This window comes from Homo sapiens, chromosome 9, assembly GCF_000001405.40.
Source record: "Homo sapiens chromosome 9, GRCh38.p14 Primary Assembly".
Classification (NCBI taxonomy): domain Eukaryota; kingdom Metazoa; phylum Chordata; class Mammalia; order Primates; family Hominidae; genus Homo; species Homo sapiens.
In genome coordinates this window covers 40,254,903-40,282,851 of record NC_000009.12, presented here as the reverse complement: position 1 = coordinate 40,282,851, position 27,949 = coordinate 40,254,903, and the positions used below count along the sequence as shown (strand labels likewise).

The window sequence follows — 27,949 nt, the reverse complement described above, 5'->3', positions numbered from 1 at the left end:
AATATTTCTATTTAGGAAAATTCTGACAAGCAATTTTATAACAAGATCACATTATTAATTATAAAGCTTCGAAAGTACTTAGTGACAAAAACTAACAGATCAGGTTAACTACATGAGACTTTTCAGGGGAAAAAAGCCATACAAAAGCAAAAAAAAAAAGAGAGAGAGAGAGAAAGAAATGGGACAGAAACTATCCTTGACTAACATTTTAAAGGTAAGATTATTTACTAACATTATTTTCTGAAATTACATTATTAGATTAGCATTCACTTCCTACTAATCTCCTGAAGCCATCTCACTAAAAATTATGCTTTCAAAACAAATTAATGAGCTTAATTCATTTTCTATGAGTGTATGTTTTGACTTACTTTGTTAATTTTTTTGACATGGAATTGTTAGCTTTCAATGCTGCTGCAAAGGCTTCCTTATATTCTTCTAATTCGGTTGTAACCTCTTCATAAGCAGTTTTCATTTCTGAGAATTTACATTCCACATCTTTAAGTGTGAGTTCCTTTTTATTTAGTGAAGCCATATTATCCTTGTTTAACTGCTCTAATTGTTTTTCATATTGTGCTTGTTCCTAAAACAAAGGAAAAGAATACACTTTTAAAACAATTATAACCTAATTATTATATGTTTGTTGCCTTTCATTTTGAGTCAGTGATTCAAAGAGCAATTGTGAATATGTTAGTAAAAGAGGCTGAAGCTTAAAATATTTATCAGCAAGATCAAAACTAATAACTGAATTCAGAATTGTCTGATTTATAAAAATTTGAAATCATAATTATGTTAGTATTAATGTAATCTGGTCATATAAAAAGTAATAGAATCCATTCATAATTTTAAAAAGTGATTAATGAACAATGTAGCTTAAGACCAATTCAAAAGTATCACATAATTTTGAAATCACAATTGTTTCTTATGCCAACTGATCTTAATCATCAAATGACTCCACAGTGAGAATCATTACTCTGAAAGATTGATTTTGTTATAATAATAATGGAAATGTAAATATTTAAAAGAAAAAACAGATGCCATTTTTTTTCTAGAACTCTACAAAGCAAATTGCTACAAGAGAGGCAGAGGAAACATAATATATACATATCCAAAATATAATTTGCGGTGAAATAAATGAAAGCACATTACAGATAAACTTACCTGATTTAAAAAACTAACCTGTAAATGGATTTCTTCTAATTTTTCTACTGCCTGCACTGCCTTTTCATCTAGCTCCAATTTATATTCTTGTAGTTTACTAAGTTCTACCCTATTGTTTTCCATATGTGTCTTAAGATTTAATATTTCTTCTTTCAACATCTTTTTATCCTCCTCAAGTTTCTCACATTGCTGTTGTACTTTTTTCATAGATAAAAACTCCTGTTGAAGAACTTGATTGTCTTTAGCCAAATTGACACATTTTGAAGATAAAGCTTCCTTCTCTGCCGTAAGATCATCAAACTGCATGAATAAAATAATATAGCTTGATAATGAAGTAGGCTGAGAATAATCTAATACAAAACCAATAGCAAATTTTGAAATGCATTTACTTGCAATAAAATGTTATCCGTAATGCAGTGGATTCTTCAAATGTGAACCCTTAAATTACTCAGAATTTTAAGAACAAAGTTAAAGCTACCATGAGTCACAAAAATATATTATTTGCTATCATCATCTTTGCCACAGAACTTTTGCACTTCATCTTACTTTTATTTTTCTGATAATTCATTTTTGTTCCTCCTTAGATGGCACTAAGTTATCTCTTAGTAAAAAGTGTCTAACCACCTTCCCTCATTATCATTCCCCATAATATGTCAAAAAAAAGTTTCAGAGATATCATATTGAGTTATTTAGGCCAAAGTCAATAAATGGCTCTCAGAATAAGACTTTGAAAATAATATAACACTCTATACTAGGCATGGTGGCTCATTCCTGTAATTGTAGCAATTTAAAAGCCTGTGCCAGAATGATCACTTGAGGCCAGAATTTGAGATCAGCCAGAGCAACATAGTGAGACCCCCATGTCTACAAAATTTTTTTTTTAAATTAGCTTGGCATGGTGGCTCATGCCTCTAGACCCAGCTAGTTGGGAGACTGAGGCAAAAGGATGGCTTGTACCCAGAGTTCAGGGCTGCAGTGAATTATGACCACATCACCGCACTTCTGCCTGGATGACAGACAAAGACCATATCTCAAAAAAACACAAAATAATGAATCCTGTAAATAAGGATTCTGATGCCATAAGCCTTTCCTTAAACTGCAAATGTTTCATGCTAATTTGAATTGCATTTTACGAAGTAATGATTCTTGGGGTAAAGGCCATAGAATACACACCCAGAAATAAATCCACATATTTACAGCCAACTGATTTTGGACAAAGGTGCCAAGAACATACACTGGGGGAAGGACAGTCTCTTCAAATGAATGGCACTGGGAAAACTAAATATCCATATGGAGAAGAATGATACTAGCTTCCTATGTAACAGCACATAATGAAATAAACTCAGAATTGATTGAAGACTGACATTTAAGGCCTAAAATTATGAAACCACTCTAAGTAAATGGAGGAAAAATGCTTGAGGACATTAGTCTGCACAAAGATTTTTATGGGTAAGACATCAGAAGCATAGGCAAAAACCAAATGATAGACAAATGGTATTACATTAAGATAAAGAGCTTCTGCCCAGCAAACTGAGTGAAGAGAAAACCAGTGGAATGGGAGAAAATATTGTCAACTATTCATCTAATAAGGGACTAGTATCCAAAATATACAAGAAACTCAAAAAACTTGACAGTAAAAAAAAATCTGGGTTCAAAATTGGGCAAAATATCTAACTATACTTTTCTTTAGAAAAAAGAAATACAAATAGCCAATAAATAAATTTAAAAACGCTCAGTATCACTAATCCTCAGGGAAATAAAAATCAAATCTTCAATGTGATACAATCTTGCTTCAATTTGAATAAATTGCTATCATTGAAAAGACAAAAAAATAACATATGCTGGTGAGGTTCCAGAGAACAGTAAACTCTAACATGCTGTTGGTGGGAAGGTAAATTAGTGCAGCCACTATAGAAAACAACATGAGGTTTTCTCAAAAAGCTAATAATGGGACTGCCAAGGGATCCGGCAAACCCACTATTGGGTATTCAGGCAATAGAAAAGAAAACAATAGATCAAAAAGATACCTGTACTCGTATGTTTATTGTAGCACTATTCACAATAGCTGATGTATGGAATCAACCTGCATGTCCATAACCAAATGAATGGACAAAAAACTGTGGCACACAAACACAGTAGAATACTATTCACCGTATAAAGGAATTCAATCCTGTTATTCGTGGCCATGTGGATCAGTCTGAGGGATGGTATGTTAAGTGCAGACACAGAAAGATAAACACTGCACATTCTCACTCATATGTGGGAGCTAAAGAAAAACTGAGGGCTGGGCAACATGGCTATTGCCTGTAATTTCCTAGCACTTTGAAAGACCAAGGCAGGAGAATCACTTGAGGCCAAAGTTCCAGAGCACCCTGGACAACATAGGTAGATAGCTCTACAAAGTCAAAAATCAGACAGGTGCAATGGTGCATGCCCATAATCCTAGCTGCTCAGGAGGGTGAGGTCAGAGGATCACATGAGCCCAAGAGTTTGAGGCTGCAGTGAGCTATGATCAAGCCACTGTCTCTAGTCTGGGTGACTACAGATGCCCAGAGCCCAGACTGGACTAGCAAGGCCCTGTCTCTTAACAACAACAAAAAAGCTCACAGAGGTAGGGGAGGGGAGGATGGTTAATGGATACCGAATTACAGTTAGATAAGAGGAATGAGTTCTGGTGTTCTGTGGCATTGTAGGGTGAATATGGTTAACTATGATTTATTGTATATTTTTAAAAAGGCAGAAGATTTTGAATGTTCACAATTCAAAAAATGAAAAATGGTTGAAGTAGTAAATGTGCTAGTTAGCTCGATCATTACACACTATATACATGTATCAAAATATCACTCTATTGGCCAAAATTATGTATATACATGTCAATTAAAACAAAAGAGAAGCTATATTTATCCCATTAAAAAAACAGAATATGGGCAATCCTTACTGACTTCCTTCTAATGAATAGAATGCAGTAAAAGGGATATCATGTGGCTTCCCTATCTCAGACTGCTTTCCCTTTGAACTCAGCCCCCAGATTGTGAGTGAGATCAGGCCAGAGAGACAGCCTGGGAGTGTCAGTGTCAATATTCATGCTGCCTGCTCCAACCAAGGTTCCAGCCAATGGCCAGCATCAACCATCAAACACATGGGTGAGCAAAGCTTCAGAGGATTCCATTTCCCCAACTGATCAGCTATTCCTAGGGAAGCTGAGGGGAGCAGAGATGACCTGTCCTGGCTAAGCTTTTTTCAAACCATAGGTTCATGAACAAAATAAATGTTTTTCTTTTAAGCCACAAAAACCTGGATAATTGTTAGAAAAATAAGTTTTAAAAAGAGACAACAGGAAACATAACTTATGCAGAGAAAAGAGTCTCCTTTAAAGTAGGATCTAATAAATGTTGAGATTAATTTATTGATGGCAAACATTATTGAGAAGCAGTAGATAACCAGGAGAGAGACATAAGCTGCTGAGGAGGAACATTTCCTAAAACCCCCTTCAATTATGAACTCTGATAACAAGGCAAGGGTGTCTCCTTACAATTTCCCCTCAAGTTAGGAAATAAGACTGCAAAGAAAGAAGAAGTATGATTTGAAAAACAACTAGAAATACTTGGTTAGATAACCAAAATCAGACATTTGCCTGATTTCAGTTAATGAAAATTCTAAAAGAATAAGCTTTGAGTATTTATTAATCAATCTAGTATTCAATTTTCATTTTCCTTTTCTCAATGAGGAAATAAGGAGAACATTATGGAATGATTTTTAGTCTTCACAGAAGTAAAATAAGCACAATATGCTTTGAGTGTTAAGACATCAAATGCAATTTCTCCTTTATCTTACTTCAAGCTTGTTTGTATGGAGAAGTTAAGACCATCCCATCTCTGTATTATACCACAATGCTTCTCTACAGCACACAACTTGGCTCCGAAATTTCAAAAGTCAAAATACTAATCTACTATTTGTCTCTGATAAATTGCCTGAACATTACCTGATTTTGAAGTGCTGCACTCCTAAGACTTTTTCTTGGAATGAGTTAAACTTTATATCCCAAGAATCCTCTACTGAGCTAGAAAGCAGAGCTGTGCATCTCTGTTTCAGTAAAAGGAGGTCAATACAGGGAACTGTGGTTTCTGAGAATGCAAGATCTGCACCAAGTAAAGGATTAGATGCAGAGCTACCCAAGAGAACCAGCTACCAGGTGGAAAGAGGATCTGCGAACTACAACATGATGACTTCACATGATTTCCACTGAGGAAAGCTGGCAGCTCAGACTTCTCCTTCCTGGATGGTAAACATCTATGGAAGATTCTATGAATTATAATGAGTTAGCAAAACATAATACACTAAATATTAGACTACATCAGCAGATCCTGTGATGAAAACTTACTGAAAATATAACTATAGAGGGAGGCAATGGAAAAGAGACTAAAGGTTTGAATAGAGAAAAAAAGAAAGAGTGTCTTGTAAGCCTGACTTGCCATCATGTCTTAGAGTAAGTAAGGTATAAGCTGGCCAGAGATTCCTTTGAGGCACAAAAGGTGAAGTTAAAGATATTCCACTAAATTTAATTTTTATTATGATATAAGACAACTGGTAATATGCAACATGCTTGAAAAAATCTTCTCATTAAATTCAATTTGGCCTTGGCATAAGAATAGATATAAACAAACTAAGAATTGATAATCTACAAATAAACCTGCACATTTACAGTCAATTGATTTTATACAAGGTTAACAAAAGAACAGAATGGGAAAAGAATAGTCTTTTCAACAAATGGTGCTGCGACAACTGGATATCCACATGCAAAAAATAAATAAAGTACGAAGAAAACCCTGGCATAAATCTTTGTGACTGCATTTGGCAGTGTTTTCTTAGCTATGACTCCAAAGGAAAAATGGATTCAATGAACTTCAAAATTGAAAACTGCTGTGCTTGAGAAGACAGTATCAAGAAGTGAAAAGGTAAGATACTGAGTAGAAGAAAGTATTTGAAAAGCATGTATCTGATAAGGGACTTACATATGTAGGATATATAAAGAACCTTTGCAATTCATAAATAACAAGATAACCCAATTTAAAAAATGGGCAAAGATTTTGAATAGATATATTTGCAAAGAAGATATAAAGATGGATAATAAGCACATTAATAGATGCTTAATGTAATTAGTCATTAGGAAAAAGTAAATCAAAACCACGTGTGGTATCACTTCACACCACAGGATGAAACCTTTATTCAATAAAAAAGAGAAAATAAGTGTTAGGAAAAATGTAAAGAAATTAAAGCCCTTATCCAATGCTGCTGGGGATGTAAAGTGGTGCAGCCACTTTGGAAAACAAACTGGCAGCTCCTCAAAAGGTTAAGCATGAAGTTACCATATGACCCAGAAATTCCAGTCATGAGTATATACTCCAGAAAATCAAAAACATATGCAAGCACAAAAACTCATACGTAAATGTTTACAGCAGCATTATTAATAAGAGTGAAAAGTGGAAAGAACCAAAATGTCCATCACCTTTGGGTGGGAAAGAACCCAAAGGTCCATCACCTGGTGAATGGATAAATAAACTGTTTGATGTATCCATACAATGGAATATCACTCAGCAATAAGAAGAAACTAAGTACTGATACTGTATTAGGAGGAGACAGCAAAATGCCTAGGCAGATAAGGAAGGGTCCCCGGAGAATCCCCAACAAGCCTCACAAGTGTTTACACCAGACGTTATGTGCAGATAAGGGAACCTGGACTTGTCTTGCCTGGACATGCCGGCAGCAGACCCGAGGCCCACAAGCACTGGGGGGATGGGGTGGAGTCACCAGGAATTCACGCCTTATGCAGAGCAGGAGCCTGGCCGCTTCAGCTCCTGTGCTCCTGGTATTCAATTGTGAGGTGGAAACCTGTTTGCAGGACGCCCCTCTTTGCTGAGAGCTTTCCTTTCACTTAATAAATTCTGTCCTCCTCACCCTTCAATGTGTCTGTGTGCTTAATTTTTCCTGGTCATGAGAGAAGAAACCAGATTGAGCTGAACTAAGGAGCAAAAACCCTGCATCAATACCTGCTGCAGCACAGATGCAGCATGGAAAATTATGCTAAGTGAAATAAGCCAGTCACAGTAGACCACTTGCTTTTCATTTCAGAGGCTTATAGGCAAATCTATACAAAGAAGGTGGGTGGTTACCTAGGGCTGAGGGAGGAAGGGAAAACTAGTGAAGATAGCTAAATGATGTGGGGTTTGTTTTTAGGGTGATGAAAATGTTCTACAATTGATTGTAATGATGACTGCATAACTCTCTGAAAATACTGAAGTTAATAAATTGTATATTTTAAATGAGTGAATTGCATGGTGTGTTCATTATTTCTCAATAAACCTGTTACCCCCCACCCCAAATTAATTTGGTACTAGTGATTTTGGTAGTAGTGATCTGGAGACAGGTACTGCTTGGTTTCAGATCACTGGCCAGGGTTCAAGGCCTAAGAGAATCAACAGCATGTCCTTTTCATAGAAAAAGAGATTGATATTTTAAAAGCTATCCTTTTCATTAGTTTCAAGTCTGTAAAATTAAATGAAAAATCTTTCACTGCTTAAAGCACTGACAGATTTATATTGAGGAATAAGACCTTGTTTTCCTTGGCCCCAATTTCTATCTAAAGGGTCTGGGAATCACACCCTTCAAACTATCAAATCTCATCAGATGGGTTTTATTAACTCTTATAATGTGGCTTCCTTTCTAACCTGATTCTGGTGCAGCATCACAGAGAGAAGAAGCTGAAGGAAATCAAAATATTTTACCCCAAAATATATTTTTTGTCATATTTTGAAATGGCTGCTGCAGGGCCAAGAGATTGAAATGGTCCTCATTAATGTAGCCCAATCTCTCCCCTTCTAGGTCTTCCCAGATCTGGGGAAGATTAACTAAGAGCCTGAGGCATTCAAAGTCTGAAAAGATATATTTACCCTCTATTTTCTCAACATATTTTGGCAGAATTTGGGTTTTTCCATTATCAATATTTTCCAAAATTACATGATTTTTAATACCAAAACTGATTTAAAATTACCATACGTTGGAATATAAATTATTCTATTATAAAGATACATGCATTTGTATGTTCATTGCAGCACTATTCACAACAGTAAAGCCATGGAATCAACCCAGATGTCCATCAGTGATAGACGGGATAAAGAAAATGTGGTACATATACACCATGGAATACTATGGAGCCATAAAAATGAATGAGATCATGCTTTTTGCAGGGATATGGATGAGCTCAAAGCTGATATCTTCAGCAAACTAATGCAGGAAGAAAAAAACAAACACTGCATCTTCTCACTTAGAAGTGAGAGCTGAATGATGAGAACACATGGACTCGGGGAGGGGAACAACAAACACTGGGGCCTATTAGGATCAGGAGGGAGAGCATCAAGATCAATAGCTAATGCCTGCAGGGCTTAATATCTAGGTGATGGATTGATAGGTGCAGCAAACCAACATGACACACGTTTACCTATATAACAAACCTGCACGTCTCACACATGTAATCTAGACCTTAAGATAAAATAATTTTTTTAAATTACCTTCTGTTTTAGCTTCTTAATCAGAATATCCATTTTCAGTTGATCTGTTTTTAAGTCTCCATGGCAATCAAAGTCTTCATTTCCAAATACATTTAACATATTTATTGTCATTTCCAGGAGTTTCTTATATCTGCAGAAATGTACAGAATTAGTAAGTCAAGTATTTTTAAGAGTAAATATTTAATAATTGTTTAAACATCTGTTATGGCATATCAAAGAAACAAATCTATAAACTATGTTACTTTCAGTTTCAACTGAACATAGTTTGAAAGCATTCTATATGAAATTATAATCTTAGATAAATAATATGAAGAACAATTTTATGGCATATATGGCAGGTAAAGTGATATTATAGCCATACAGTGTTTTTGTTTTGTTTTTTGTTTTGTTTTGAGATGGAATTTCACTCTTGTTGCCCAGGCCAAAGTGCAGTGGTGTGGTCTCAGCTCACTGCAACCTCTGCCTCCTGGACTCAAGTGATTCACCTGTCTCAGCCTCCCAAGTGGCTGGGATTACAGGTGTGTACCACCACGCCTGGCTCATTTTGTATTTTTAGTAGAGACGGGGTTTCACTGGTCAGACTGGTCTTGAACTCTTGACCTCAAATGATCCACCCACATTGGCCTCCCAAAGTGCTGGGATTACAGGTGTGAGCCACCACACCTGGCCTAACCATACACTTTTTGTAAATAAACTACTGATATCCATGTTGGTATGCTAAGTAAAATAACGTATTACTAAATATAAGCCATAACCCAGAGATGAGTAACCAAGATAAAAAAGTAAAACACATACATTTAAAAAGACACAAAAGTACATTTTGATACCCACTGACCACAGTCTATCAGAAGAAAAAAAAGTACACACAAAAAGCATCAAGGAGATCATTCAATGTAGAAAAAGAGAAGAAAACATCTTTAATATCTGAGTTGAGGAGAAAAAGGATACAGGCAGTTTTAGAAAAAAGGAAAGGGGCAGAGAGATGTGTGACGATTTAAAGACTTTGAAGAAGAGATCTAGACATCTTTGCTGACATAATGTCAACAAAATGAAAGAGATACAAAACCATGTAGAGAAAAGCAATGACAGAAAAATGTTGATTCTAATCAGAAAACCAAATTAAGTGCTCAGTAAATAAATAGAAAAGTAGCTGTGTTCAGGGTTTCAAAGACAGATTCCATTGTTTTAAAAAAAATCTGTGATCAAAACATGAATGTTCATTTTACTTTTTCTTTAAGTTATACGTATATTTTTATATATATGAAATTTATTTATGTAAAACAAGTTTAATAACATGTATACTTCATGTATACAACAGAGGTACTCATGTACAATGAGTAAATTTCCACGTTTTATATCTAAAAGAAAAAGCAGAAACAAAATATAAGCTACATATCAAGATAAATTTGATGTTAAAGAATGACACAAACAGGTCTTCTTTAAACAATTTGAATGCAGCAGAGGATACTACAAAAGGAAGAAAAAATGACCACAGACAGCAAAAAATATCTTCAGAAATAAAAATTCAAACCAGATAATGAAGAGTGCACTGGACATTATATGTCCAAGGCGTGGTCATTGTTTTCAAAATCATTAAAGAATAAGTGGCTGGGCATGGTGGCTCATGTCACTTTGGGAGGCCGAAGCGGGCAGATCACGAGGTCAGGAATTCGAGACCAGCCTGACCAACTTGGCAAAACCCCGTCTCTAATAAAAATACAAAAATTAGCCGGGTGTGGTGGCACATGCCTGTAATGCCAGCTACTCAGGAGGCTGAGGCAGGAAAATTGCTTGGAGGCATAGGTTGCAGTGAGCCAAGACCGCGCCATTGTACTCCAGTCTGGGAAACAAAGCCAGACTTTTTCTCAAAAAAAAAAAAAAAAAAAAAAAGAATATTTTGGCATTCAAAAAAAATTTCACCTTGCCCCAGCAGCTCAGCTGACTCCCACCCCCATGACACACGTCTAAAAAGTTGTGCTGTGAGTTTCTGAAATACATTTTAAAACAGAATTCATTTAATTATGAAAATGCAAACATAAAATGAATTTGTATCTAGGTTTTAGTCAAGTAAAATTAGAGTTAAATCAATTAATAAATGGCTAACATGTTCTACAATATGAAAACCATACCCAGTTGCCTCTTCTTCTAATTCATCATTTTTCTTTCTTATTCGATTCACATTATACTTCAGTGATGATATTAACTCAAAAAGTTTTCTTAATTCTTCATTTTCTTTTTTAGGCTTAAAAAAAGTGTTTAAAATTATTTTTGTAAAATCTGGAGACCCTCTTTTATCTCAAAAATATTATTTCTCATAAGTGGATTAGTAATACGTATTTATGCAGGTGTATAAAGTGTATTTTATAAACCTGATGCCAATAAGGTCAGATTTCAATAATAGTCACTTTTCTTAAAACTGCTAAAAATGATTCAAATTTTCATCATTATCTTTTCTGAAATTTAAACTGCCAACAATGTTTGTTACAAATGAGGGTTTTTACACACAAAATACTAAGGGTTAGTTAAAAAAAAAAAGAGTAGTTATATTTACATTTTAGTTTTTAAAGATGCTCTAGAAATATTGTTTTTAACAGTTTAAGATATTCCAAGTTCTCTTAAATTACATCTTACTAAGACAAATTTTAGAAAACTCTTATCTAGTTCCCATTACATTTTTCATCCTCATCTGTCTTCAGGCTGAGCTAAATACTGTCATTCTAAGTATTCACCCACAGGTTTCAGTTTTTCCCTTTCTCTTAACCATTTCTCTTTAAATAAAGTTTATTTTTTTCTACAATAAACAAAAACAACTTTCGTCTACTTTTTGTGGCTTTTCTATTATCCTGTTTCTCCCCTTCCATTGGACTCTATGACACATGGTTTCATTCAGAAATCTTTTTTCATCAATTATTGTGTTTTTTATATTGAAATCTGATTTTTAATAATTCCAATAAAAAAGTCCAACGGTCATGAAGGACTTTATCCTGCTTTACTCAGCAGAGCAGTGACCAAATGCTCCCTCTGCTCCTCTGACCCCACTTCCTTTCTAAATGCAGTGACCTCTGTTCTTCAGCCCTATCCCTTTCTATTCCTCTGACCCCGCCTCCTTTCTAAATGCAGCAACCTCTGTTCTTCAGCCCTATCCTTTTCTGGTTTTTTGTTTTGTTTTTGTTTTTTGTTTTGAGATGGAGTCTCCCACTGTCACCCAGGTTGGAGTGCAGTGGCATGATCTCGGCTCACCACAACCTCCACCTCCTGGATTCAAGCGATTCTCCTGCCTCAGCCTCCCAAGTAGCTAGGATTACAGGCATGTGCTACCACACCCAGCTAATTTTTTGTATTCTTAGTAGAGACGGGGTTTCACTATGTTGGTCAGACTGGTCTTGAACTCCTGACCTCATGATCTGCCTGCCTTGGCCTCCCAAAGTGCTGGGATTATGGGTGTGGCCACCACGCCCGGTGGCTATTTCGCTTTTTAAATTCTCTCAGGACTCCTAAAATCTCAAAACTTTGACCTAGATTCCCTAATCTACATTTCCAGCTCTGACCTTTTTCTTGAGGTCTCTTCCTTCTAGTACACATATTATAGACAATATTCTCCACCACATGCTCATACATTGCTACTTGGTGCAGATTACTTTTGTAGATAGTGAATCTTGTCTATTTTATGTTGGTTCTTATTGATGTTACTTTGAGTATACTGTTATTTTCTAATCTCAAAGGGGGACTATCTCACTGTTACGATACTAACCAGTATACTTTGTCCTTTTTTTCATTCTTTCTTCTTTTTTGGACCAATATACTTTGTCCTTTTCTTTTTTTGAGATGGAGTCACACTGTGTCATCCAGGCTGGAGTGCAGTGGTGCCATCTCAGCTTACTGCAACTTCTACCTCCTGGGTTCAAGTGATTCTCCTGCCTCTGCCTGGCAAGTAGCTGGGACTACAGGTGCACACCACCACGCCTGGCTAATTTTTGTATTTTCAGTAGAGACAGGGTTTCACCATGTTGGGTTGGCCAGGCTGTTTTTGAACTCCTGACCTCAGGTAATCCACCCCTCTCAGCCTCCCAAAGTGTTGGGATTACAGATGTGAGCCATGGAACCCAGCCCTCTTTTTCTTTGATAATGAAAACTTTCCCATGAGAATCAGATTATCAATTGTTTGCCTTTGTTTTCTTTTAAATAATTTCCTTTTCCATAGAGATATGGCATGATGAACATCTTGTTCTAAAGTTCCTTTTGGGGGACACTCAACTATGTCATCGGGAAGCTTCAGTAAGTAGAGATCTCCCTTCTTCCCATTCAAGATTCTTCATCTCAAAATGGTGTCTACCAAATGTCTTAATCCAGGTAGTCCCTTGCTTAGAAATTCATGAAATAAGAACCTTCTGGAGAAGTTAGAGGCTATTGATTGAGATGGTTTAAAGCTGCCCCTTATTATGTGTTTTACTCCCAAGGCAGACATCAAAGCGGCTAATAATTCTATGCCTGATGTCTAACTCACTTCTATGGGAATCTATACAACATGATTTATTTATGAGACAGAGTCTCCCTCTGCTACCTAGGCTGGAGTGCAGTGGCTTGATCACTGCTCACTGCAGCCTCAATATTCCAAGCTCAAACAACCCTCCTACCACAGCCTCCCAATGTAGCTGGGACTACAGGCATGCACCACCATGCCTCAGCTAAGTGTTTAAAAAAATTTTTTTTTTTTTTTTTAGAGACAGAGTCTCACTATATTGCTCTGGCTGGTCTCAAACTCCTGGGCTCAAGCAATCCTCCTGCCTCAGCCTTCCAAAACCAGGTGTTTAAATGGGGACTAACATGAAGCACTTAGAAGACTACATGGAACATAGTGAGCTACATAAAATATTTGCTATTAGCATAATAATTTTATTGTATATCTTAACAAAATTGTGTATTTACGCAGGTGGCATGCCAATGGAAGTAGTCTCCTATAGCTGCACTGAATCATTCTTAACACTGAGAGTTGCAGCAAATGGGGGACATAATTTATAACTTACTTTTCTCTCTGTATGACTCATTAGGCAATGACTGTGTATGTACTACAATGTAAATAGCACCTCCTGGATGGAATAGTACGTAACTGACATGACCAGCAGAGACAGGCTAAAGACACTGAGCTGAAAACCCTGGACTCTATTGCTAAGTCAAGGCTCCTGAATCCGTTCCCTCTGAGCAACTGTTGCTGTGGTGCTGCCTTCACAAGCACTCTGCTGAGCACTCAGATTGAGGGGCTGTGCTATCCTTCATCAGACAAGCTGCACCCAGAACTGTTCAGCTGACAGACTGGGAGCAGTCCAGAAACACAGTAATGGCTGCATAGTGAAAAAAGGCCAATTTATATTCTTTTTCATAGAGAGAAAAACATAAACACGTGATTGAACGCATCTCCTGTGTTAGACTAATTGGGTTAGATTTGATATTTAATTGCTAAAAATATATTTAGAATATAACCTTACTGTGTCAAGGTCTCAAAGAAGAAATAATTGGTATGGTATAAATGATTGAATTGTATGCTACAAACTTCTAAGCTAAAATATTTTCAATGTATGCAAGGATAGGTGGCATACACATTATATATTATTCCCCCATTAAGCAAATTTATAATGAGAGAAAATTATCTTCCATAAAAAAATAAAAGCCATGTAAAATTAAGGACTAAGTTTTTCAGCACAGACTAGACAACGATTGCTAACACATAAGGTCAATGACAGAACAGTCAGAGAAAGCTTCATGAAAACAAAAAAATTGTCTGCCAGGTCTGAATGAATGAGGCTAGATGAACAGAAACTGAGAAGGCAGAAAGAATAGCATGAGCAAGACAAGTGCTGAAATCTGCCCAATTAACTCTGAGGATAAAGTCCAATGGCAGGGAAATAAAAACCCGTGTCCACATAATAACCTGTAAGTGAATGTTCACAGCAGCATTTTTCATAATAGCTAAAAAGTGGAAACTAACCTAAAGGTCCATCAACTGATGAACGAATGGAAAACCAGTATAGCCATGGAATAGAATATCATTTAACTATAAGAAGAAATAAACTACGAATGTGTGCTAAAACATGCATGAATTCTGAAAACATTATGCTAAGTGAAAAAGCCAGTCACAAAGGACTACATATTGTATAACTCTATGTATATGAAATATGCAGAACAGGCAAACATATGGAGACAAAAGTAGACGGTGGTTGCCTACAACAGGGGTAGGTGGAGGGACATGGAGGAAGGCTGCAGTCATGCCTAGGAGATGTGGGGTCACTTTTCAGGGTGACGAAAATGCTGTGAACATACTAATAGACACTGAGTTGTACATTTTAAATGGTTGAACTGTCTGATATGTGAATGACATCTCAGTGAATCTTTTTAAAATCCAAAGGCAGGATCAAGATAATTTTCTCAACTCTTAATTTTTGATGTACATGCTATATCAAATCTAAATATTTCTACAGTTTTACAGTATATTTTAAATAAAAGATAAAGAAAATGCCTAACTTTTCAAATAGTTTGTAAATTAACCTAAAACATGCACATTTCAAAGAATAGTATAATGGCCTTTCTGTACAAGTTAACCTAGAATCTGTGAAACAAATAGACACAGATTCTGTGTCCATTCACAAAAGTGAAGAAATAAGACAATTTTCTGGAACATTCCATGAAACATTCTCCTCTGATTTAATCTGGCTTGCCTCATCAGAGCAATACACAAATTACTTAAAAATACTGTTTAACAGGAAAAAAGTCAATTTTCTATGAGGAATGATGTATAATTCTCAACTTTTCCAAGGGTACATATTGTAAGAGAAAAGGTATGCAATGGTTTTTCAAAATGGTATAATGAAAGTCACAATATAAAAAAATAGTACATTATAAAGATAGTAAAATGGAAATCATTCATTATAATGAAAATAAAAAATCAAGCTTCTGCCAAAATTAGTATCCTAAAACACGTTATATAATTCAACTAGCTACAGAATAACTGTTGACATGTTAAATTCCATACATACTTGACTTTTCACTTGAAATAATTTCTTATTTGAGGCCTGTGTCTCATCCAAATTAATGTGACAACGTGATATACCTTCCAGTGGAGACTCTAACGTCGTTAATTTTTTTACGCTGTCAGCCACTTCTTGTTGAAGTTGTCTCACAACCACCTGATAAAATATTTGTTACTGATTTTATAAACTGCCTTATTAAATTATGTTAATAATGTTTAATTCTAACATATCTACTTTGAAAATTATCACCACACATATCAATTCACCTTCTTTTAATCACATGTACACATTTTTATTTATTACTGAATTCAGTGAGGGATGCAGAATATGTTCTCTTCCTGCCAAATTGGTATTCTCTTACTTACACAACAGATTCATTCCAACATTCAATCATCTCAGAAGCTCAACTCAGCCTCAAAGTTCCTAACATATTCAATCACCTGTTCAAATCCTTCCAACAGATTCCTATCTCAGAATAAAAGTAAAATTCCAATGGCCTTTGAGGCCCTAGGTAAAAAGGCCTCTACCTCCCTCTCTGACTTCAAAGCTCCTACAACTCCCTCCTGTAATTACTCCATTCCCACTGTATGTGAAGCCTGCCACCCCTCAGTCTGAAAATGGAGATGTAGTGCCTAACTCGTAAATCACAGACAGCTACAAGTATCTTTGTACTGAACAAAATTATATTCCAATGACAGTCATTGAGCCTTGCAATAAAAATTATGAGCTAATTATTAATATAAATATTCAAAGTAAACTATAAATACCAGTGGGAAAACTAAACCAAATATAGTTTTGCTAAGTTTTACCACATTTATCCTAAATTATGATTTTATAACAAGTAGGTGCCTTTAAAACATTACATGGTCATAAAAACACGTAATTTGACATATTTTCAGATTTGTTAATATGAATAATAACAAAGCTATACCAACTAAAATACATAAAAAGCTAGTTAAAGCAAGGTATTACAAGACACAGCAATACACTTCAATTCATCTGGGGAATCTAGAATTAAGTGTCGAAGAAAATCACTTAATTAAATTTTAATTTGAAAATACTCACTTCAGGTGTAAACATTTCCATTTATAACTACATTATGGTCTTAACATGTGGCAACATAAAGACATTAAAATTACTATTTCAGCAATACAGAACTATCTACCTTAAAATATGACTCTGTGCCTAATAAAATTTCATAGGTGACACAATGTCTTTTCTCAAAGTAAATCATCTCTCACCTCTATCTTTTATTTCCTAGAAATGAGGCATGTTTCTAAGCCGATATAGTAAACACATTTTTCCTTTTTTTATTAAAACAGCTTTGTTGAAATATAATTTACATACTATAGAATGTATCTGTTTTAAGTTAAAAGATTTTTAGTACATTTACTGAGTTGTGCAGCCATCTCTACAATCCAACTTTAGAGCATTTCCATCACTGTAAGATTCCTCATGCCCATTAGCAGTCACTACCAGCTTCCAGCCCCAGCCCCTTGCAAACATGAATCTACTTTTTGTCCCTATACATTTATCTTTTCTGGATGCTTCATGTAAATGGAATTATACAGTATGGTAAACACACTTTTAATCTAGATTTTTATATTCAACTAAGTTCAACATGTATCCAGAACCAAATGTTTAAATTTTCTTTCTAGAAGTTTGAAAATATTTATCTTCCTTGATACTTACTACTCCTTCTGTTTTCTCTCTCTCATACTGAAAGAGACTTTCTTTTAAATGATCACATTCATTCATTAGCTTCTTACTTTTCTCTTCTAGCACGAGGTCTTTCTTTCCACTCTCAATAAAGCCTCTTTGGATATTAGTTACTATCTCTTTATGATCCTCTTTCTGATGAACGTCATCTAGTTGCTGTACAAGCCACGCATTTTCACGTTGGAGGTGACATATCCTCTCTTCTACACAGTTCCACTTTCCAGTGGAATTATTCACTTTAGCTTCTGCATTTTGATACATCTCTTTCATTTCCTGTGTTTGCTGCTGTGTTTGGCTTAGGTCGTTTTGTACAGTTTCTAAAGCCAATGACTTTTTTCTGAGACTATCTCTTGTCTTACGGAACTTATCTTTTAAGGCATTGAATTTAATTTGTGTTTCAGAAAGTTGTTCAGTAAGAAACTCATTCTCATCTTTTACTTTGGAAATAGCAGAACTCATTTCTACTTGTACAGAAACATCTCGTGTTCTCTCTAAAGCAAGTTTTAGGTTTCTTTCTGTTTTCACACTTTCACTGTGTTTGCTTATAGCAGCAGCCAGTCTAGACTGATAAGATTCAATGTCAGCTTCCAGTCTTTTCTTGCTTTCTTTTTCCTTCAACAGTTCGGCATTGAGCCTTGTATTCTCAGCCTTGAGATCATTAAGCTCTTGTTGATACCGGAATGCTGTTTCTGTTATCATTTCCTCATTGAGTTTTATATACTTTTCAAGGGCAGCATTTGTTTCTTTAACAATTTTAATGTCCTTAAGATATTTATTTTCTTTTTCCAAGTTGTCATTTTTCATTGTACATATTTCCTGTCTGAGTATAGCAATATCTGCCTTCAAAATGCAATTTTCATCCATCAGACCTTTCATTTCTTCATGATTATGAAAATCCTAAATAAAACAAAAGAAAGTTTTAGCTAGTACTCAATAAAATAACATATCATGATTACCTCTGAAGTTAAAGAATAACCTGCACATCCGTACCACTAAAAAGTTTACCATAAGTGGATATCCACCTGGAGAAAAAGTTGAAGCAAAACTTTGAACCTTATAGAGCATAAATTCCAGAAAGTTCAGAAATGTATTTAGAGTCAATGAATTTATAAAAGTAAACACACACACACACACACCAGAGAATTTTTAAGAATATCAGAATTGGAAAAGCCTTTCCCTGAATTACAACAAACTCAAAAGCATAAATTAAAGCATTAACAAATTTGACTAAATTAAGATATATCAAAAAATTGCATTTACACTTTGATACCTAACCCATACACCACCCTATAGTAAGAACTTTTGTTCACACATATTTGGACAGATAAAATTTCCCAGAGTTATTACAGTTCTGTTTCACTGATAACATTCTATTTCAGTTTGACTCTTTTAACACTTTTATAGTCAGTTATAAGAATTACATTCACTAAATCATAAACTAGACATTATACTAGTCACTCCTATATACATTCATTGATGAACTCATCTAGTTACCATAATTTTGAAAAAGAAATGTTAAAAATATAAGCAAGCTACAGGATTTTCCCCAGGACTTCTGACTCTACTTCTAGTTCTCCAACAGATCACAGTTACTTCTGTGGTGTAAATACATCAATACGAAAGAAAACTTTTATTTCAAAACGCCAATAGTAAATAAGATAAAATTTATAGAGCTCTTCTTAGAATATCATGAGATTATTTGCGATTGCAATAATTTCTGTTTCCTCTTTATAATATTAGGTGCAGTAATCAATATGAAATAGGGGAAAGTACAAGGAAAAATTTTACCTGGAACAAAATTTTTATCAATAGGTTATCACTAAGTATAAATTATGGCATATTATTGTTTTCAAAAGCTCTTTGTAATAAAATAATATCCTATGTGGATGCCAAGATTTATAATAAATATTAATAATTGTACCTGTAAGTGTCATCATTCATTTTTAAAAATGAGATAACATTTATGGTTTTAGACCTAAACAATATATATTAAATCAAGTGGATATTATAAGTAACAGTGATAAGATAAAGTTTAAAATATAGAATTTTTACCAAAGATTGATTTACCCGATTTGGAGTATTTCTTGCAGTCTTTGATTTCATCTCTAGTGACTGAACAGTTGGTTCAAGTTGTTTTGCTTCAACTTCTTTCTTATATTGTTTCTCTTTCCTTTCTAATTCTTCTCTATTTTTTTTGTACAGCATATTAACATTTGTTTTTTCTTCATTTTCTTGTTTTAAGGTGCATCTGCAGATAAAGACATTTGTCTTAAAATTCATTTTGTTAAAAAATAAGGAGTTCATCCTGTTATCTACCTCTGCAGATGTTGTTTATTATCCTAATAAAATTTCTATGTTCTGGATTATTTTTCCTTTGCAGTTCTCAGATATTTAATTTCTCACTTCAACATCTTCAAATGAATGCATATACTTGAAAAGTAGTAAGGAAAGAATATTCTGCTAAAGTTTTTGTTACTAGTCACTCTAATATATATTATAAAAAAGGATACCAGAGATAATTCAGTAAAGTTACAGGTTCAAAATTACCTTTTTAAATCACACAGTCATAATTACTCCCTAATTAGAAAAGATCATTTACAATCAACTAAATTTTTAAAGTTACTATTTATTGACAAGCGTATAAGTTCACTAGAAATAAATTTTCATCTTTATGAAATATTGCAGGTGTTTCTCCAAATGATTTACAGAGTGAGATGACACCTTCAGATGTCTCTCACACAAACTATATCTGCAGATGACTGTCATCCAAAACTAGGCTAAAAAGTCTAACATCTGTTTCCCCACACTTTTTATATTTCTTTCTTAATACTTTCAATTCACCTTCTTATTACATATATTTTATATATTCATTAACCTATTGTTCATTATGTGTAATATATAATTAATGCATGTTAATTATATATTAATAAGTGTGTGTATGTTTACACCAGTTATGTTTTCCTGTGAAATCTAGCCCCAGAAGTGGAGTTGTTGAGTTAAAGGGATGTCAGGCTATTTGAAATTTTGATACACAGCACTAAGTTACCCTTCAGAAATAATTTACTAATTTCCTATACCAACAGTGTATGAGAATGCCTTTTTCCTCACATTTGCCAACACTAATAATTACTTTTTAAATATCAGCATGACTTTACAAAATATATCTTATTTTATGTTAATTTGCTTTTTTCTGAATACCAGGCAGGGCTAAATACCCCTGGTAAAAATATAAAACTTGTTAATCATAAGGAATATTAGTCCAATTTTCAATTAGTTTATAGCACAATGACAATTATCTCCTGTGAAATACTGCTATAGGCAGCCAGGCACGGTGGCTCGCTCCTGTAAACCCAGCACTTTGGGAGGCCGAGGTGGGCAGAACACGTGAAGTCAGGAGTTCGAGACGAGCTTGGCTAACATGGTGAAATCCTATTTTTACTAAAAATACAAAAAATTAGCCGGGCATGGTGGCACATGCCTGTAATCCCAGCTACTAGGGAGACTGAGTCAGAAGAATCGCTTGAACCCAGGAGGCAGAGGTTGCAGTGAGCTGAGATCACACCATTGAACTCCAGCTTGGGCAGCAAGAGAGAAACTCCATCTCAAAAAAACAAAAACAAACAAAAAAAACCCAAAACCAAACAAACAAACAAAAAAACACTGCTATAGGCTTACCTATCATGCTCTTCCTTCAGCTTCTTGGGAAATTGCTGAGGATACGTTTTCCCAATCTTTCTTTGTTGGGTTAATCTGCCAGCAGCAGCAGAAGATGTACTATCACATATATTTTCTGAAAGTTGTATTTTTTCACTTTTGTTTGTATTATTTCCTTCTTTGACCTTTAATAAAAGATGAATAATAATTGTTATTATTTTATTCAATAAAAAGAACTTTTTCCCTGATTTTTATTACTTGATTCAGGTTAACTATCACCACTTTAATGATAAAAGTATTTTGTGCTTACTTTAATTTTATCATTATACATAATTATTATAATTATAAGATACTCTTATTTTATCATCGAAATTTTTGTCAAATCTGCTCATTTCTGTTTGAGGGAATAGAAGAATTTTCCAAAATTTCAAAAAGGGCTCTTCTCCATTTTGTGCTTTTATTCCCATCCACTCTTTGCTATCTGGTATAAATTTTTATGCTATCTGGCTGGCAGAAACAGAGAAATAAAAAGACACAGGCATAATATATGTCTTCTGTCTTTACTACCTGGATTTTACATGAAATAGCCAGATTAAGAAGATGTGACCTTGTAGGCCTTCAGGAACAGTAAAGAAGTTTTCCCTTTTCTGTACTGAGCTACTCTTTTCCCCACTGCCTTTTATCTCTCTCTTTTTTTTTTTTTGAATCCTGTGATATCAAAAAAGTAAAGGTTCTCTTTGAATTATGGGAACCAACGTTTGCCACAACAAAAGAAGCAGAGTGAAACTGCTGAGTTTCTAGTGCAGAATTCTGGAAAATGAGATGCTTCCCAGATTTCACATTCAATTACCACAAAAGTTTATAGGTGGAAAACATATGGTACAGTTACCTACTTTAACCCCATTATCTACTGATAATGGGAGTCAAACCAACCAAGACATATTAAATGTTTCATCCAGAGCTCTTGAGGTGGCATTCACTAGCATTTCATGGCACCATATAACATGATACAATTCCATATTGCTGAATTACATAAATTACCAGATAAATTTATCAAATTAGATATATTAAAAGTCTAACTTGAGCAAAGCAATTTAATGCCTCAGAGGGTGGAAAAAGGCCTCATCTGCTTTTACTTTGAAAGAAGAAAATCTCTAGATTTTTGTCTATCTTTAGAACACAATGTACAGAACTCAACTTTCTACTAAAGAGTCAAAGGCTAAATTTTTGGCTAAGAAATTATGCTTCTTATATGATAAAAATCATACATGCCAAAACTTACCATACTTTATTAAACAACATAACGTAAGGTCTGATTCAACAGAAATATTGCAGAGTGGTGATTTTTTAAAATATGTGTAAGTATATGTTTGTTTTCAAAAATATTGGAAATAACCATGATGGGACTGTAAGTTCAAACAGTTTGAGCTAAGCAGATAAACTTGCATGCATGAAAACACATTAAACAGACTCATTTGGCTGGGAATATTCGTTGCAACTCTCAAGGCTAGACGTGTTTTTGTGGCTTGTCTCAGTCATTGCTTCCCTCCCATTGTATTCCCATTCTATCATTAAATAAATGTAAATTATCTCTAAATGAATACAAGAAAAAAGAATCTAGAATCTAGAGCTTGTTTCTTTAGCAATTTCTTTATGTTGATCTGGTTCAGAAGGTCACATGGTATGTGGCTTAATTAGTTTCCCAGCTCATACGCCACTTGGAAGACTGATAGTGAGACATAGGTTGATTAATGAACAAACATTATGAGAACATTCTCCAGAACCATTATTCAGATAGCAGAACTAATCTACTTTGACACATAATTACACATTTAGATAACCCCACTGTAACTGTACACATGAGATTTTCTTGAATAGAAAATTTGACTAAATCAAATAATTGATAAAGAGGAAAAAGAAGCAGCAAGTGAACCTCTGTCTTTTTGAAGTTGGACTTGCTTTTCTCCAAAGCCAGGAACTCAACTTGTAACATGCCTACCTCATTCTTTTTTTAATTATTATTATACTTTAAGTTCTGGTACATGTGCACAACATGCAGGTTTGTTACATATCTATTCATGTGCCATGTTGGTGACCTTGGAATATCTTCCCATAAGTCTTCTAGCTATATTTTTGATGTTCTCTCACTATGTGGTAAAGAATAACTCACATTTTATAATTCAAGATTCATGCTTCTGTAGTTGTTAGCACTGGGATTGCCATATAGTGGCTGCTGGAATAAACGCTGTATTGGTTTTCTGTTTTTATAAGTATCTGTAGCAGCAGAAATACTGTGGCTTTCTATCTGAATCATATGCTTCATTTCTTTGGGGTGGGTAAACAACAAATCAAAAAGACTTTCTGGATCTCTAGACTGAGGCCAATGCCTAATGTCCAATTTCCAATTAGTGGTATCTGGGTTTACATTTTTTGCCATTTGCATGTCAAACTCTTAATCATCTTTCATTTCAATCATAATTACTGGGTTCCTTAATTTTTTGGTTTCAGTATCATTACAAAAATTTTCATCATCTGTGTTAGAAACAAGCTATGTGTCTGGTTTGCTATCATTTTTATAGTCTGATTTATTTTCATTTAAATGAAGCTTAGAAGATGACTGGTAACTGTATTTCAGGGACCTGGAGTATGAATGGAATAAAAAGACATTTGACATGGGCTTCCTCTGTTCAGGCGCTGCCTGGAATGCCACAGAGTTAGACCCTCCAGATGCATCTTCCTCCTCACAATCAGGGACCTGATTCATCAGATTAGAGGGCACTCCTTTTTTGTTCGTCCCTCTTTAGAGTTACTATGTAGGAGCTCTTCCTCAGGGCAAGCAGTAATTCTGGAGTTTTCAAAACTTTCACCAATATTCAGCTTGAACTTGTTTGTAATGAATTTTAAAGAAAGTCGTGAATATACAGACAGATTATTCCCTTTATCACAATTCTTACCCAGTTCTGGTTCTTGAGACTTTTTTTTTTTTTGGCAGGTGCAAAATGGAAAACAAATTTGCTTGTTTTGTTTCTCAGATGCCTTTTCTGTCAGAGTGCATGTTTTAAAATTAGCTTTAATCAAGTATAAACAAAAATACTAGAAAATAATTAAAATTTAACTGTGAAACTTAATCTATGTGTTGCCACTCTTAAATTATGGGATTGTAACTAAAAAGTGAAAAATAATTTGCCTTGGCTTAACATAGGACAGAAATATGAACTGGCAAGCTGAACGCTTAGCATTTGTTTGGATTAAACTTAATGCATTATGTGTAAAATCTACCAGAAATGAATTCAAAGCTGATAGGTAGTATTATAAAATCTTCCTCTCTTACAAAGATTTTACCTCAGCATACCAGAAAAAGTGAGCCCCTACAGTACGTGTATATTTCTGAAGATTAACTACAGACTAGGCAAACACTGAATTATTAAGAGCCAAACTGAACACCAATAAGAAAGGGAAGCAAAAATTTAAATTCTAATTCAAATAATATACTATGATAGTGTTATGTATCTAGATGGATTATCTGCTTATATCCACTTCTAATATATTTTAAGTTCCACTAGTGATAGTGGATGGATTTTTTAAATTTTAGTAACATTTACTATGTATTTATGTCAAAATAAAGTTATTGTTTGTACCCTGACACCAAAGGTCCCATTCCACAAGGTAGGATTCTCTTAATAGGCAACTGGGTTGACTTTTATGACCCCACTCACTCCCTGAACACAGACACAGAAGTCAAATGGTGACCACAAAACAGAATAAATCTTTAACCTCGGCACTGGTGACCAGCAATATAAAACTGCAACATTTGAACCATTGGCAATGATGACTCCTTTAACACTAGTTTAACTCAGTGGCCATCATTGTTAAATTGTTCACAATTTCTATTCCTTAATAATATGACCCAATATTTCATGTTACCTTCTGTATTATGAGTAAGGTTATAACAATAAAAGAGCAAGATAATTCTGAAAATGTCTTGCCTCAATTCCAAGGGTAAAGACAGCTATGAGTTACTAGAGATAGTAAGAATTACCAGAATAACTAATAGTTACTAGAGATAGTAAGAATATCTTAAGTTTCATAACTGGTTAAGATGTTTTAAAAATTAAATATAAAATTATGATCTATCGGATTCTAAAGGTATAGTCTAAAAGGTCATGTCATTTGGACTATGCTTTGTTACTGAAGCAAAAAAACAAAACCCAATATTAAACAAGAAACTTGAATTTTCATATACCTGTGGTTGCTTCTTTTCACTTCTTTCATGCCTTTCTTGCTCTTCCTCTGAAGCCACTGGTAAGGCTTGTTCTGTTGACAAATTCATTGGTTTAGTTCAAATGAACTAAGAACAGTTAGATAAAGACTATAATCTATATAAAAATAAATAGAGAATAACATTTCTTTGTATTTTATATTTTGAGAGTTTCAATGAAGCTTAATGTTTACTGAAATATTTAGTTCTTTAAGAAATACTTCTAATCATCCAAAATTTCAACAAACCACTTGGGGAGACATTAGATATCACCAGGTTCAAGCCATATGAAATCTCAGGGTCACTCACAAATTGTTCCACCCAACATAAATCAACAAAACTGTTAGAAACAAAACAAAATTTTGAAATACAGTCAAAATATACAATGTAACACTTTACTATACTTCATAACAGTATCTTTTTAACAAGACACTAATTGAGTTGGCAGTTACTAATAATTTGCAAAATTATTGTTGTTTATACCTTAATTAGTGTGCACCCCATTTTTTACATCGCAAATGTTTTCCCCTACTATTCTGAAAAATTTATTTTCATCTTTTAAGACTCAGAAAGTAGGCTGGGCATAATAGCTCACATCTGTAATCCCAGCACTTTGGAAGGCCAAAATGGGGGAACTGCTCAAGGCCAGGAGTTTAAGACCAGCCTGGGAACCATAGATAACCTTGACTCTACAAAAAATTGGACAGGTATGGTGATATGTGCTTGTAGTCCCAGCTACTCAAGAAGCTTAGGTGAGAAGATCCCTCGAGCCCAGGAGTTTGAGGTTGCAGTGAGTCTCGATCACACCATTGCACTCCACCCTGGGTAATAGAGTAAGAACTTGTCTCCAACAACAGAAAAAGAAAAAAAAAGGCTCAGAATGCTGTGTGAAGTCTTCCTTGATTCTAGCTGTCTTTCTCCACACACACAGGTGTCTGCTTCATTGGAGTTCCTTAGTACTTTGTCAACTTTTCCAGCGTCACTTTACCACCTGAACTGCACATCATGTCTTTACATGTTGATCCCCTTTGCTGTTAGACTGTAGAGGACAATCTTTTGAATCATCTTTGTATAAACAGTCTTAATTTTGCTAAATAATTACTTATTGAGTTCCTGCTAAGTGTTAGGCACTGGGGTATAAGGAAGGAAAATAAAAGCTGTCAGGGATGGCTTTCCTAAAGATCATGCATGAGCTGAGACTTAGAGAGTAAGGTTAGCCAGATTAAGTGAGGCAGAGGGCAGGAAAGGGTGAGCACATGCCAGGCAGCAACAAGAGAGGGAGAGAAGCCTCCAAGAGAGTATGTATTTCTCTGCAAAAGAGGAATGGTGAGGGGGCCATTACCAGCAGCTCAGTAATTCCAGAGAAAAAGGCAGATGGGGAAAGGGCTACAGATGGAGATTTGGGCAGAAATCAGTTTCCTTTTCTTTTCTTTTTTTTGGGACAAGGTCTTACTCTGTCTCCCAGACTGGAGTGCAGTGGCATGATCTTGGCTCACTGCAACCCGGCCTCCCAGGTTCAAGTAATTCTCCTGCCTCAGCCTCCCAAGTAGCTGAGATTACAGGCATGTGCCATTACCACCTGCTAATTTTTGTATTCTATTAGAGATGGGGTTTCACCTTGTTGGCCAGGCTGGTCTTGAACTCCTGACCTCAAATGATCCACCTGCCTCAGCGTCCCAAAGTGCTGGGATTATAGACACGAGCCACCATGCCCAACCCAGAAATCAGTTTCTGAAATCCTTATATAAAACTTTAAGATGCTTGGACATAGGTATTCAGGAGTGGTTCACAGATCTATTTGCATTAGAGATAATTAACTCTAATTATTGTGAGGAGCATAAAATTCTGAGGCATATAAATCAATGAACAAAGATAAAATATAAGGCAGTGTTGCAAAGATGATGCAGGCCTGAGGAGATGTTTTCAGAAATATTTAGGACATAAGTATCAGTGGCCATTGTAAGCATGAATTTTTATTGAATGAATAAATGTATATATCTGGGTCCCTGGAGAAATACACTCTGCTCATTACTTTACAAATTTTATCAAATGAGAAGTAAAATAATATACATAAACTGTTTCAGTTACTTGTATTTACTTTACACTTTTTCTGTTTCAGTTTTACTGTGCCAAGGAAATGCATTTGGGTTTTGTGGTGGTTGTTGCTGTTGCTGTTGTTGTTGTTGTTGTTGTTGTTGTTGAGATGGAGTTTCACTCTTGCTGCCCAGGCTGAAGTGCAGTGGTGCAATCTCAGCTCACCGCAACTGCTGCCTCCCAGGTTCAAGTGATTCTCCTGCCTCAGCCTCCCGAGTAGCTAGAATTACAGGTATGTGCCACCATGCCCAGCTAATTTTGTGTTTTTAGTAGAGATGTGTTTCTCCATGTTGGTCAGGCTGGTCTCAAACTCCCAACCTCAGGTTATCTGCCCGCCTCAGCCTCCCAAAGTGCTGGGATTACAGGCACGAGCCACCGCGCCCAGCCACATATGGGGATTTTGTTTTAAAAGTTCTGTTTCCTGGATCTACCAAGCTCATGAGAAAATAGAAGCAAACAAGTCATTTGCATAGGTAAGA

General features: G+C 35.1%; 1 pseudogene across 6 annotated transcripts in view; it reads right to left on the bottom strand.

The window, feature by feature from the left end:
* Positions 1-493: 493 nt before the first annotated feature.
* ANKRD20A2P (ankyrin repeat domain 20 family member A2, pseudogene) overlaps positions 494-27,949 on the bottom strand; it is a 60,257-nt pseudogene continuing 32,801 nt past the window's right edge. Inside the window, exons 12-18 of one of the 6 annotated variants that reach the window (XR_007061496.1) lie at positions 25,362-25,432; positions 21,140-21,303; positions 19,532-19,712; positions 17,438-18,361; positions 15,752-15,901; positions 8,724-8,853; positions 494-580 (exon numbers count right to left, since the gene is read on the bottom strand). The product of XR_007061496.1 is annotated as an ankyrin repeat domain 20 family member A2, pseudogene, transcript variant X1 (transcript). Of the gene's footprint in view, positions 581-8,723; positions 8,854-10,848; positions 10,966-15,751; positions 15,902-15,924; positions 18,362-19,531; positions 19,713-21,139; positions 21,304-25,361; positions 25,433-27,949 lie in introns of those variants that run through there. The other 5 variants (XR_004837499.2, XR_004837500.2, XR_004837501.2 and 2 more) reach the window with 5 other exon arrangements.